At 44.0% G+C, this 13,244-nt stretch overlaps 2 protein-coding genes and 1 long non-coding RNA gene across 37 annotated transcripts in view, besides 5 other annotated features; 1 reads left to right on the top strand and 2 right to left on the bottom strand.

Moving 5' to 3' along the window:
* The window catches only part of KANK1 (KN motif and ankyrin repeat domains 1), a 275,809-nt gene extending 271,676 nt beyond the window's left edge, over positions 1 to 4,133 (bottom strand). For 8 of the 19 annotated variants that reach the window (XM_047423041.1, XM_047423067.1, XM_047423060.1 and 5 more), the window contains exons 1-2: positions 2,842 to 4,133; positions 1,155 to 1,234 (exon numbers count right to left, since the gene is read on the bottom strand). The gene's annotated coding sequence lies outside the window, so the exon portion shown is untranslated. The remainder of the gene's footprint in view (positions 1 to 1,154; positions 1,235 to 2,841) is intronic. The other 11 variants (NM_001256876.3, XM_047423044.1, XM_047423042.1 and 8 more) reach the window with 10 other exon arrangements.
* Positions 4,024 to 4,549: an enhancer, noted in NCBI's record as "H3K27ac-H3K4me1 hESC enhancer chr9:469879-470404 (GRCh37/hg19 assembly coordinates)". NCBI's record gives its function as "activates a minimal SCP1, AML or CMV promoter by ChIP-STARR-seq in primed H9 embryonic stem cells {active_cell/tissue: H9 hESC(primed)}" and the evidence as "EXISTENCE:reporter gene assay evidence [ECO:0000049][PMID:30033119]".
* Positions 4,212 to 4,261: a silencer, noted in NCBI's record as "silent region_19724". NCBI's record gives its function as "represses an Ori minimal core promoter by ATAC-STARR-seq in GM12878 lymphoblastoid cells {active_cell/tissue: GM12878}" and the evidence as "EXISTENCE:reporter gene assay evidence [ECO:0000049][PMID:35858748]".
* Positions 4,299 to 9,654, top strand: DOCK8-AS2 (DOCK8 antisense RNA 2). The gene is made up of 2 exons (XR_002956871.2): positions 4,299 to 5,114; positions 8,359 to 9,654. It is a non-coding gene; the product is annotated as a DOCK8 antisense RNA 2 (long non-coding RNA).
* Positions 4,372 to 4,521: an enhancer, noted in NCBI's record as "active region_28119". NCBI's record gives its function as "activates an Ori minimal core promoter by ATAC-STARR-seq in GM12878 lymphoblastoid cells {active_cell/tissue: GM12878}" and the evidence as "EXISTENCE:reporter gene assay evidence [ECO:0000049][PMID:35858748]".
* Positions 5,082 to 5,181: an enhancer, noted in NCBI's record as "active region_28118". NCBI's record gives its function as "activates an Ori minimal core promoter by ATAC-STARR-seq in GM12878 lymphoblastoid cells {active_cell/tissue: GM12878}" and the evidence as "EXISTENCE:reporter gene assay evidence [ECO:0000049][PMID:35858748]".
* Positions 5,422 to 5,471: an enhancer, noted in NCBI's record as "active region_28117". NCBI's record gives its function as "activates an Ori minimal core promoter by ATAC-STARR-seq in GM12878 lymphoblastoid cells {active_cell/tissue: GM12878}" and the evidence as "EXISTENCE:reporter gene assay evidence [ECO:0000049][PMID:35858748]".
* The window catches only part of DOCK8 (dedicator of cytokinesis 8), a 253,999-nt gene continuing 249,927 nt past the window's right edge, over positions 9,173 to 13,244 (bottom strand). For 9 of the 17 annotated variants that reach the window (XM_017015173.2, XM_011518045.4, NM_203447.4 and 6 more), the window contains 2 exons: positions 10,741 to 10,911; positions 9,173 to 10,269 (listed from right to left, as the gene is read on the bottom strand). In XM_017015173.2, coding sequence (XP_016870662.1) covers positions 10,209 to 10,269; positions 10,741 to 10,911 — 232 coding nt within the window. In that variant the 3' untranslated portion in view covers positions 9,173 to 10,208. The remainder of the gene's footprint in view (positions 10,270 to 10,740; positions 10,912 to 13,244) is intronic. The other 8 variants (XM_047423927.1, XM_047423930.1, XM_047423932.1 and 5 more) reach the window with 1 other exon arrangement.

Genomic DNA, 13,244 nt, shown 5'->3' with positions numbered 1-13,244 from the left:
ATAGATAAGTGAGAAACATACTTATGCAATTAATCAATATGTCCAATATCACTAATTAGTAAGAGACAGGACAAGGCATTGAACTTCAGCATCTTTGACCCCTGAGCTTGTACTTATAAATACTAGTCCATATGGCTTTCCTACCAGCATTTCCTCTGAGCCAGGGAATGTCACTATTTTCCTTATGGCCAACAGCATTTAGACTCAATGTCATTGCTGACCTACAGTGATGTGTTCATCACCATGGGCAGACAGATAGGCAGGTACCTATCCATACACTCACTCACCCACTGATGACACTCAGGAAGGCTTGGTAAAGACAAGTAAAGCCAATGAATATTATAAATAGATAGTATTTCTTGTGAGGAGCCATCATGTGGGGAAAGCTTCTTCATTAACTCTGGCTGAGTCTAATGTTGAAATTAATTCTTGGCTGGCACACTGGCTCACACCTATAATCCCAGAACTTTGGGAGGCCGAGGTGGGCAGATCACAAGGTCAAGAGATCGAGACCATCCTGGCCAACATGGTGAAACCCTGTCTCTACTAAAAATACAAAAATTAGCTAGGTGTGGTGGCACATGCCTGCAGTCCCAGCTACTCAGGAGGCTGAGGCAGGAGAATCACTTGAACCATGGAGGCAGAGGTTGCAGTGAGCTGAGATTGTGCCACTGCATTCCACCCTGGTGACAGAGAGAGACTCTGTCTCAAAAAAAAAAAAAAAATTCTTGTTCTTTCTGGGTGCAAGATAGTTCCTGAACACATACCCAGATGATCACAGGTGCCTGTGGTTTGTTGGGGGATGATATACACTAAAATAAGTGGTGAATACCCATAGCTAACCATAGCAAATTTTCTCAGTATTATACCTATCAGAAAACCCAAGTAAGCCTCATTGTAGGATAACTCTAGGTGACCCTCTAGGGATTATGGTTGATGATCACAGAGCTGTGATGTCATGATGTCCCATTAGGGGTCTTTCACCTGGTTATCATTTCTCTGCCTGATACTTCAACTGCAAATTTATGAGGAAATTTAGGAAAGACTGAATCAGACCCCTATCCAATAGTCTCCAAGCTGTGTGCACTTTCCTTGGATTTTCCTCTGTTTCAATGCAGGGATATTACATGGGTTTTGGAATCAGTCAGACTCACGTTCAAATTCTGTCTCTGCTATTTACTGAGTGAGGAGCAGTGGTACGAATCCCTTGTCCTTGGAACTGCTGTATTCTCTCCTGTAGAAAGGAATTATGAAAGGTGTTGTGAGGATCAGGTGAGCTGGCACATGCAATGCACCAACACAGGGCCTGGAATATGGTGGGTGACCACTCACTGCAAACTCTTATTCTTCATGCTTCAGTTACCTATTGCTATATAAAATCTCAACCCAGGCCTTAGCGGCCCCCATGACTATACCCGTTTGTCATGAAGAGCTTTAGTGAGCTTTACTTGAATAACAACCGTTTGTTTGCTCATAGTTTTGTAATCTGAGCTGGGTTCTTCTACTGGTCTCACCTAGGGTAGTTCATGCTCTCATGCTGACCATTAGGAGGCTGAATTGGGGCCAGAAATCCAAGATAGCATCACTCATGTATCAGGAAGCCTGGCTGTCATGCCTGCACCAGCTCGGATCAAGCCTCTGCTTGGTATAGGGCTCTGTTGTCACCGCCTTAAAATTCGGAATAATTTTAAAACAAGGAAACCTGCATTTCCTTTTACACTAATCCCTGCAAATTGTGTAACCAGTCCTTGCAGCTGGATCTCTTTCTATACTAGCTCAGGGCTCCAAGGGAGTGAAAGCAAAAGCTGGCAGGCTTAAGACCAAGGCTAGAACTTGTACAGTATCACTTTGCCGCATTCTATGGGCCAAAGTAATTCACAAGGCCATGCCTGATTCAAGAGGAGGAGTGGGAAAATCTTTATGGCCTACACTTGACCTCCATTTCCTACTTTCAGCATTTGCAGCAACTGGGTCAGCAACTGGGTCCTGAGAGAGCTCTTCTGGTGCTAAGAAGCAGACACCTCCCCAAGTGACCTCACAAAAAGAGGAATATATGGCAGAGGGTTGGAAATCTCTCAGAAATGAGGCATAACCCCATCTTAGGAAAGTGGAAAGAGTTAGAAACTCAGAGTCTGAGGCTACGCCTTGCTTCTCAGTGGTGACATTGACTTCCTTGGTCAGTCATGGCTTGAGGGGAGGTCAGGGAAACTGGTCACTCAGAAGAGACAACTGCCCCTTACAGAGACTGTGGGCAGGCCAGCTCTCTATAAGAGGCTGTGAATAAGGTAGGGTGTATTCCCTGATAGAAAAGTTTTTTTATCAGCCATTTATGAAGCACCAATAATTATATGTAAGAGTGTTTTGGCGTATGGGGATGTGACTCTGGGAGAGCAGGGCTCTTTTTTGTCAGTCACATAAGGGTATATCTCTTTAATTGAAGTTGGGGTTGGGGGCAGGGGAATAATCGGAGGTTTATTCTTACTGTCCTTGTGCTCGGGGAGTCAGCCGCAGTCCCTGGTGACCGGCTCACATATCCTCATGTGGCTAGCAACACCCACCTACCATGGCAGTACAGGAGAACGCTTAACTCACTGTAATCTCCAATGCCTAAGTGCAAACGATTCTCTCGCCTCAGCCTCCGAAGTAGCTAGGACTACAAGTATGCACCACCATGCCTGGCTAATTTCTTTTACAGAGATGGAGGTCTTGCTATGTTGCCTAGGTTTCGAACCCCTGGCCTCAATCAAGCCTCCCACTTTGGCCTCCCAGAACCCTGGGATTGCAGGGGTGAGCCACCGCATCTGGCAGAGAATGCATTCTTTTACAAAAATGCCAACTCACCTCAAAGAAAAGTTGAGTGAAGAAGGATGAGAAATTGTGACTTTATCTTATTTACTTTGGTCCTGCTCCAAGGAAGATGACAGACTGAGGCCCGCATAAGGAGGGAGTCCCACATGGACTTGGGAGTGTCATCACCATCTCCTTGGGGCATGCAGAGAGCGGTCACCATCTCTTGACCTCTCTCCTCAGCATGCTCCCCACTTCCCTACTCTACTTCCTTGTGGTTTCCTTCCTTTGTGCCCTCAGTCTAGTGTCCTTACCCCTGTCCTGGAGACCCCATCTCTTTTCTCCAGTACATAGTGCCCCTCCTCGGTCCCTTCCTGCACATTCCACTCAGCTGGCACTATCGCTTTCCTTGGCCCAGCTTCGCCAGCTCTGAAAAAGCAAGGGGTGAGGTGCAGTCCATCAGATGGAAGAGATGATATAATTGATGATCAGATCCAGGGCAGGTGCCCAGCAGTAACAACTGTGGCAAATTTCTACATAAGCTAGCTGAGAAACAAGCTAATAGAATGAGCTTATTTCCCAGTGACAATGCAATCTAGTGTTCTATGACCGGCTCCTTGCAAAACAATAACCCTGGCATTATGACAAGATTCACATTAACTGTGCAGGGCCCTGTCTTGACTACCCAGGTGGCTAGCACCTACTTGGATAAGAATGTCCTGAGCTTCAAATCTCTTCCCTGATAAAAAGAGGGCTGCTGCTCTCAAGGAACTTCAGTCAAGGGGAGTGGGGGAAGACAGTCCCACACACAGACAAAAAACTAGGGGGTGAAAGGCCAATGAGTGGTGGGAAGGAAAGGGAAAGAAGCTTCCAGAAGTAAGTGCTGAATGGGAGATTAAACTTGGCTGGGGGCCACGGTGGAGCACAGGTGTAATGGAGGGTGGGGCCTCTTTCAAACCTCACTCGTGGCTGTGTGCACGCGTGTCCGTTCCCACTGGAGTGGCGGTGCTTTCTTGTGGCAGGGGATGGGTTGCTTCCCTCCGAAGTCTTCGCTAGAACTCCCTCCTCCTCCTGCTTCCTTTCACCTGTTCGTTCCAAACATACATTGAGCTGCACGTTCTGGGTTCCCTCACGAAGGAGATTTCAGGTCTATGCCCACTTGCCACGATTTTACTTTACTTGGTTCCCAGTTCTACTCCTTTCCCTGAGCTTCACAGTGTTGAGAAAAAAAGCCCTCAGCCTCCCCGAGTCCCTCAGGCCACGCACCCTCTCACTTTGCTAATTTCCAACCACTCGCTGCTGAGCAGGCTGGAGCACGCCCGCTTCGGACGCCCCGAAACACCCTCGGGCGCATGCTCAGTAACTCCCCCACGCCCCTACCCGGGCGCATGCTCAGTAACTCCCCCACGCCCCTACCTGGGCGCATGCTCAGTAACTCCCCCACGCCCCTACCCGGGCGCATGCTCAGTAACTCCCCCTACCCCGCCCGTCCCACCACTGCTGCCCTTCGCCGCCGCCCCCGGCAGTGCTCGCTCTCTCTAGGCCCCATGTAAATCGCTGTGTTTGCTGGGGAGCCCTTAGTTCAATTCTCAGGGGATTAGGGCCATTGAGATTCTTAATCAATTGCTGGGTTCCACGCGATCCTCTTTAGAAACTTTTTGCTTAATATGCATCTAGAGACATGCACGGCCCGCCTGCAGCGCTGGAGCCGATGGAGTGGAGCCTGGGAGGCTGCAGGCGACCCCCAGGCTTCTAAACAGCAACGTCAGTTTAATTATTGCAGATCCGTCACAGCTGCCAAGTCCTCTCTGTCTTCGTTGTTGTTAACGGGGAAACTTGCCGCCCGGTGGCTTTGCTTCAGGCGGAAGTCCGCGTGCTTTGATACCCTCAGGGGGCACTTACAGGCTAGGTGGACACAGGTGGGCTGCGGGACTCCGCGAATTTACCTTCCAGGGGAATGCACTGCACACATGCTGCACACAGGAGACAGGGAAGCCTGGCGAGGTTGGGTTTTCAGGCGCCACTGTATACACTCTCAGTTCCACTGATACCCTTTCTTTCTTCTACCCGCTTTCAGGCGCCACTGTATACACTCTCAGTTCCACTGATACCCTTTCTTTCTTCTACCCGCTTTCAGGCGCCACTGTATACACTCTCAGTTCCACTGATACCCTTTCTTTCTTCTACCCGCTTTCAGGCGCCACTGTATACACTCTCAGTTCCACTGATACCCTTTCTTTCTTCTACCCGGAGGCCCTGGTAGTTGGCTCTCGCCAGACAATGTAAACTGGCACTACAAGTGGAATAGACCAGACGTTTATTTTCTGGTAAGTCAGGCCTCTGTCCTGCCTGCACCTTTGGCCTGATTTTGATTAACGTTGTCAGAAGCGGATGCCATGTGTGGGGGTGCTGGCTAAACTTTCTGGAAGTGTCAATTGTAAACAGTGTTACCTTACATTTTGGGCAGCACTTTTGAGTTTCCAAAACATGTTCCCATGCATTATCTCATTGGGTTTCCTCAGTAGATTGGAAGAATGTGGAGGAACTTGCACCCTCTTTCACAGTGAAAAAAACCCTGAAGCTCAGAGCAGTATAGTATCTTCGCCAGAATTGCAGGACTAGAAAGTGAAAGAACAAGAAACCAGGTCTTCTGGTCCTTAGTCTGGAGACTTTTGGCAGTCACATATACTTTTTTATTATCTCACTAATAACTCTTGATAATCTTGTTGGATAACAGAACAGTTTGTTCATCCGTGTCGTGTTCTCTCATTGCATTAAGGAAGTGATGAGGGAGCTGATTTCTCAATTGTTTTTTAGAGCTATAATGCCTTGAAAATCATTCCCTTATCCTGGCTATCAGTAATTTGCCATCTCCTAATATGTAGTAAAAATAGTAAACGTAAAAACTAGCTGCCAAGCTAATGCCACAAACATCAAGTAGGAACTGGGTTGGATTCAGTAACATCGGTCCAGAGAGAGCACTGCTCCTCAAGATGGGTGCAACATCAAGGACTTAGGGATCAGGAATGTGCACGGCTCTCCAAATGGTTTTCAACCAAGGTGATGCTGCATTTCCTCTAGTAATTTCATAATTAAAAACTTAGTGATTATCAGAAATTTAGTTTTTGCTTTCTTTTTTGTTTGTTTTGGTTTTTGAGACAGGGTCTCACTCTGTTGCCCAGGCTGGAGTGCAGTGACACAATCATAGCTCACTGTAGCCTTGAACTCCTGGATTCATGCCTCAGCCCCCCAAGTAGCTGAGACTACAGGCAGGCACCACCATACCTAGGTAATTTTTGTATTTTTTGTAGAAACGGGGTTTTGACATGTTTGTCAGACTAGTCTCGACCTCCTGGGCTCAAGCGAACTGCCAGCCTTGGCCTCCCAAAGGGTTGGGATTACAGGCACGAGCCACTGTGCCTGGCCAGAAATTTAGTTTTTTATTTATTTATTTATTTATTTATTTATTTTTTTGAGACGGAGTCTTGCTCTTTGCCCAGGCTGGAGTGTAGTGGCGCGATCTGCGTTCACTGCAACCTCCGTCTCCCGGGTTCGCGCCATTCTCCTGCCTCAGCCTCCCGAGTAGCTGGGACTACAGGCGCCCGCCACCACGCCCGGCTAATTTTTTTATTTTTGTATTTTTAGTAGAGACGGGGTTTCACCGTGTTAGCCAGGATGGTCTTGATCTCCTGAGCTCGTGATCCGCCCGCCTCCGCCTCCCAAAGTGCTGGGATTACAGGCATGAGCCACCGTGCCTAGCAGAAATTTAGTTTTTAAATCAGGCTGTGTGAGGTTGGGTTTAAGAATATTGAAGCTTGGCTCACGCCTGTAATCCCAGCACTTTGGGAGGCAGAGGCAGGTGGATCACCTGAGGTCAGGAATTTGAGACCAGCCTGGCCAACATGGTAAAACCCCATCTCTACTAAAAATACAAAAATTAGTCAGGCGTGGTGGTGGACGCCTGTAATCCCAGCTACTCAGGAGGCTGAGGCAGGAGAATTGCTTGAACCACGGAGGTGGAGGTTGCAGTGAGCTGAGATGGTGCCACTGCACTCCAGCCTGGGCAACAGAGTGAGACTCCGTATCAAAAAGAAAAAAGAAAAAAATTACATTCAAAGCAAAACAAAAGCTTCTGGTCTTTGAAAGCATACTTGCAACCACAATTACCAATGACAACTCTAAATTTTGTTTGTTTGTTTGTTTTTAAAACGATCTATTGTCATAGAAACCACTCTTTATAGAATAGAATTATGGAATTTAAAACAATGTGTGGCATGACAAACCCAATCAGATCTGTGCAGTATATTCATGTTTAATTTTTATGAGATTCTTATGTGATAGTGACAACTGCACCCTTGACCTTGCTGAAGGAGGGGAGGCATGAAGCTAATCAGAAAATTTTCTCTAATAAGCTTTCATAGAAGAGTTTTCCAAATAAAATGAAGAGGGCTATCATGGCATATCAAGTTTCTCTAATTTTCAGGAAACAAAGATACTAATTTGCTTTACTCTTAGGGATTCTTAAAAGGCCTCTTTTCTAACTGCATATTTAGAATATATAATCAGAGGACCAACGTTCAATATCTTTTTTTGTGCCATCACTTTAAAAAGTGCAGCCATGCTCCCCACTTAACTATCTGGAGTTGAGAAATGATCTGGGAGTTGGCCCAGAAATAGTGTGAACAGCTAGAGCCAATATTGACAAATCCTTATTCTGCAACCCCACAAGTTTCTCTCCTAGGTAAGCTCATGGGGCTCTCAATCATACCCTGTCATTCTTACTTCAGACACTAGTCCCACTTCTTTGGTTATCTGTATTCTGAGTCCACAAATCAGAGGCATCCAGTTGAAAAAGCTGAAAGCTTCTAGAATGGCACTATCCAATATGGTAGCCAGTGGCCCCCTGTGGCTACTGTGCACTTAAAATGTGGCCAGTCCTAACTGCAACGTGCTGTAAGTACAAACTACACATCAGATTTTTAAAGACTTAATATGGAAATAAAAGACTGTAAAATAATTTTTTATAGTGGAAGCATATTGAAATAATATTTTATATATATTGGGTTAAATATACTAGTAAAGTTAATTTTGCTGGTTTCTTTTTATGATGCTGATTATTTTTTGAGACAGGGTCTCACTCTGTCACCCAGGCTAGAGTGCAGTGACACGATCATGGCTCACTGCAGCCTCAACCTTCTGGGCTCAAGCGATCCTCCCACCTTAGCCTCCCGAGTAGCTGGGACTACAGGCACATGCCACCACACTTGGTTAATTTTTTATATCTTTTTTGGTAGAGATGGGGTTTAGCCATGTTGCCCAGGCTGGTCTCAAACTCCTGGGCTCAAGTGATCTGCCCACCTTGGTCTTCCAAACTGCTGGTATTACATGTATGAGCCACTGCACTTGGCCTATTATTATTTTTAATATGGCTACTAGAATTTTTAAAATTATATATGTGGCTTGCATTACATTCTTATTGGCAGTGCACTTCTAGAAGCAGGCCTACTCATCATTCATTCATTTAGTGAATCAACAAATATTTATTGGGTATCTTTTGTGTGTTTGTTGCAGGGCTAGGGGTAAGAATGCAGCAGTGAACATGGTTCCTGCACTCATGAAGCAAATGTATCCACTGTGGTACAAAAGAGACTGTAAAAAACAAACCCAAATGGACAACAGGTATCTAAAAGCAGGGGATATTTAATCAGGAATATTCTAGGTTACTAGGGCTATTCTGGCTATTTGAGTTAAGGTCCAGGACTATATAACTTAGCATCTAACTCTTATTGTTTTAGGGCAGAATCTAATACCATAGGTGTTGGCCTATCCTTGAGTTAGTCAGGAAAAGGTTACATGCTATGGGCTGTGTTCTAGTCTGTTTTGTACTGTGGCTACTACACAGGTATATGATCTTCCTCAGGGAACGGAGACGATTTGGAGGGCGGTGACCACGTTTTTTGACCTTGGTCTCAACACAGTGTCTCCCAAAGAGTAGGGGAATACATATGGAATTAAAGTATGTCATGTGTACTCATTTTAAAAAGCAGTTAGGTGTATACTTTAAAAAGAGTTCTTCCCCAAATACCTAAAAAATAAAAAGTTTAGCACTTAAGCTGGTAAGTTTTAATTATTATTTTAAGTCCTCTTTCAGATTATAAATTCATGCATACCTGATGGTATAAACAAAAAGTTCTGAAATATCCGAACTAAGTCATCGTTCATTACTAGCAGGGTTAAACATTGCAGAAGAGGTGCCACCTTGGATAGTGTTATTTGATGGAGGCCAGGATGATGCATCTGTCTTCTCTCTGAAGTGCCTTACAAAACATTACGAGCGAGTAGGTCATCAAAACAAAACACAAAGCATGAGTTGCAAAGGGAAACATTTAGCTTGCAATTCTTATTACATCTTTATTATCAGTCAAGGTCACAGTCATATTAAAAATATATAATTTAATTCTCAAATAATGTCTTTGTTCCTCTTTTTCCTAAAGTCCTTTGTCAAAAGAAGTCAAAGTTGAATATATTTTGTAGCTGATATACATATGCTGACAGACAGCACAATGTTCTGAAATGAAAACAGAGATATTATTGCTTTATAAAAAGAAACTTGGTCCCAGAGAGGAGAAAAATAGATAGTACACAAGAGTGACATAAGAAAAAAAGCAAAGCATTATCGGAGAATTGTTTCCATTTAAGTGAAAGCAGTATCTGTGATTTCTGGCTGACTGCTCCAAGTACCGTGTATCTCCTACATCAGTGCTTTGAATGTATTCTTCTATAAATGCATGTTAAATTAATGTAACAGTAATAATAAAACAAAAATAACTATACAGCAATTAGTCCACCATTACCAAAAGGGTAACAAGTTCACAAATAATCTCCTCCCAAATTTCCAACCATGATGATTTTTGGAATTGTAGTAAGGCTTCCCTTTGTAGATTTATTGAAAATGTTTCGTACTCCTACAAGTTTGCCCTGCCTTCCTATAAAGAGTGAAATTCAGTTTGAATCGACTGGTGGATAATTTTTCCATTTTTCCTCAGGCAATTTGAGTTACTCCAATAAATTCAAATATGGGCCAGAGGAAATCATCTCTCAGATGGGCAGTGATTGGCCAGTCAGCAGGAGAAGCTGCTTATGCCTTGTTTGGTACATTGTGGAAAAACACACTTTAATAAATACGCAGTCATGCCTGAGTACCCATCCTCCATCCCGCCACCCCCCAGTATGGCAAAAATCTGGTCAGAGTCCATTTGGGAATAATTCCATGGTTCCTGGGATCCCAAAGCTTCCAGAGTGCTGGCTGATCAGGGAGTGTACAGTCAGTCCTGGGTGGCAAATGTCCCATTTTTTAAGTACCAGCAAGTCCTTCTCCAGGGTTGCAGGGCCACAGTCTCCACGAATGAAGATGGCTTTTCTTAGCTGCCCTGTGACAACTGGGTTTCACATTTCCTGAAACTAGATCTGTGGAAGGAGTCCCTGAAATTAAGAAAAGAGAGGGAGGAGAGGGAAAGAGAGCGTACAGAAGCAAGAAAAGATCAGTTAGCCTTTTAGAAAGGGTTGGGGGTGGATCACCCAGTAGAAATGGACATCAGTCATGGACAACTCAGCAAATAATAAGTGAAAGGTCTGCGACCCCTTCACACTGTGCCAAAACAAACATACAAACCAACCAAACAAACAAAAAAACCAACACAGGCCATCATTCAGCCCTGGGAATACCCTGGCACAAGACCAACACCAAGGTGTCTGGGAGAGGTCAAGGAGCAGGGATGGGGAGGACAGAGGCAGAATGAATCACACTCTGGTAGCCTCTCTGACTGTGGGACCCTCTTCCACCCTTTCGAGGTTCTGCAGCTCCCCAAGTGCAGCAGAGCATGCCCCAAGGTGCTAGGCCCCATGCGCTGCTCTTTATCCCACAGGAAGAGGCCTCCTCTGCCCTGTTCTTACCTCTTTTGACTCTCAACTCTGAATATTGGCTTGTACAGTTCTGGAATTTTCCGCTCGATCATTGGCCTGAGGTTCTCTTTTAGCTTGTTATAGTTCTTTTTGAGTTCCTGCTGATATTCCCTCTGGTCTGCCGTGATGAGACGCTTGTTTTTCTCTACAGCTTCACCACATCTGAGATGAAAATATCAGTGTGGGAGAAATAAATGACTTTGAAGTGCTTAGAAATCTGAGAACAATGAAATTACTTACGATTTTTCGAATAACTTTAAGAACGTTTTCAAACTGGGTGGCATATCGGGATCACCTGTGGAGCTTTTCAAAATGCAGATTTCTGGGATCTATCTCAGACTTAATGAATCATAACTGCTGAGGGGTAGCACCCAGAAATCTCTGTGTTTGTTTTTTTTTTTTACCTTATTTTATTATTTTTTGAGACGGGGCTCACTCTATCACCCAGGCTGGAGTGCAGTGGCATGATCACAGCTCATGGCAAACTTCGACCTCCTGGGCCCCAGTGATCCTCCTACCTCAGCCTCCTGGGTAGCTGGGACTACAAGTGTGGGCCATTGCTTCTGGCCCAGAAATGTCTAATGTTAAAAAGTTGCCCAGGGGATACTGAAGCCAACCTAGCCAGAATTGAGAACCTCTGACTTGCTATGTGCCAGAAGAAGTTTCAAGAAGTTTTACATGCATTATCTGTTTAATTTTCCCAACAACCCTAAAAAGTCAGCATTTATCTCTATTTTGTTTCTGAAACTCAGAAATGTTAGGATGCTTGCCCAAGATAACACTGTGAGGAAGTGATGGATCTAAGAGTCAGACTCAAAACACACTGCAGAATGGAAGCTGTTACACTTACAAAAAACTCACTGTGATTTACAGCAACATGGCAGACAGAGCAGATGGCATTCAGCCTCCTCCTGCTACGTACATATGGAAGTGCTAGGAAAGCACAGCAAAAACTTGTTGAAAGAGAAAGGGGAACACCAGGTGCCAGAAAGAAAGAGAAAAATCAAAGCTAGAATGATCACAGGAGCTGGTGACAAGGCAGCTGTCAGTAGGACTGCCCATTAAGATTTTAGGACTGTGTATAGGTCTATGGGCTGAGGGGAAGGGGCTTCAAAGCTCACACAAGATTAGTGATGTGGCCTTGGCCAGGGCAAAGGGAGATTCTGGATATGCCACCTGCATATCGTCCAGAGCCTTGAAAAGCTATCCCATCTATGAAAGAGGGTTTAGAAAAATGCTGCAAGATGTCCAGAGAGGCAGAATGAAAACTTGCTATCAGCTTAGGGCCATTTATGGAAAAGAAAGTCATATTGAGAAATGGAAATTCTAGGCTTGCACCACACATAGTATAAGTTACAAATGTACATTCCTTGACTGTATGTGCTTCAAGGTGAGAAAATAACTTAAAAGCCAGTCCAAGATTACTGAAATTGCTAGGATTCAGCCAAACCAACATAAAGTTGTTCTGGAGGAACACATTCTCAATCAGGGCATATGAGCCACTCTCGCCAAAGATGAGCTCACAATAAAAAATTACAAACCATATGAAGAAACCAACCACCACGAGGGAAAACTAACAGATGCATCAAACAAAAGAATTAGTCCAATAAGAATTAGAGATAATAAAACAATGTAAAAAACCAAAGTTAATATAGAGAGGTAATAAAATGTATAAAATCCTAAGTAATCATGTAACTAGAAAAAAAAAAAGAAAATAAATAAAAGGTATAAAATCCATGATAAAAACAAATAAACAGGGAAAATGAAAAAAGAGACCAGGAAAAGTTCAGAAAAGGACCAAACAGAACTTCTAGAAAAAAGAAAAATGCAGTCACTAGGCTGGGTGTGGTGCCTCATGCCTGTAATCCCAGCACTTTGGGAAGCTAAGGTGGGTGGATTGCCTGAGCTCACAAGTTAAAGACTAGACTGGGCAACATGGCAAAACCCCATCTCTACAAAAAATATAAAAATTAGCTGGGTATGGTGGCAGGTGACTGCAGTCCCAGCTATTTGGGAAGCTGAGGTGGGAAGATGGCTTGAGCCTGGGAGGTGGAGGTTGCAGTGAGCCAAGATCATGCCACTGCACTCCAGCCTGGGTGACAGAACCAGACCTTGTCTCACCAAAAAAAAAAAAAAAAAAAAAAAAAAAAATGCAGTTGCTAAAAGACAAAAAACTCAATGGAAAGGTTAAAGGTTAAATAATAGACTAGACATAATTGGAGAAGTAAATGTATGACAGATCCAAGGAAATCACCAATGAGATTTAAAAAATAAAAAAATATGAAAAAATTGGTTAAGAAACATAGAGATATAAGGAAGATCCAACCCACATCTAATAGAATCTCCAAGGGAATGGAAAATGAGAGGGAGACAATATTTAAAGAGATAACAGCTGGTAATTTTCTAGAGTTGAAGAGAGATATAAATCCTCTAATGAACAACAACAGAGCTATATCCAGTCTTCTCATGACAAAACTGAAGAACATTAAAGACAG

The sequence above is a fragment of the Homo sapiens genome, chromosome 9, assembly GCF_000001405.40.
Source record: "Homo sapiens chromosome 9, GRCh38.p14 Primary Assembly".
Classification (NCBI taxonomy): domain Eukaryota; kingdom Metazoa; phylum Chordata; class Mammalia; order Primates; family Hominidae; genus Homo; species Homo sapiens.
This window is presented reverse-complemented; position numbering and strand designations above follow the sequence as displayed.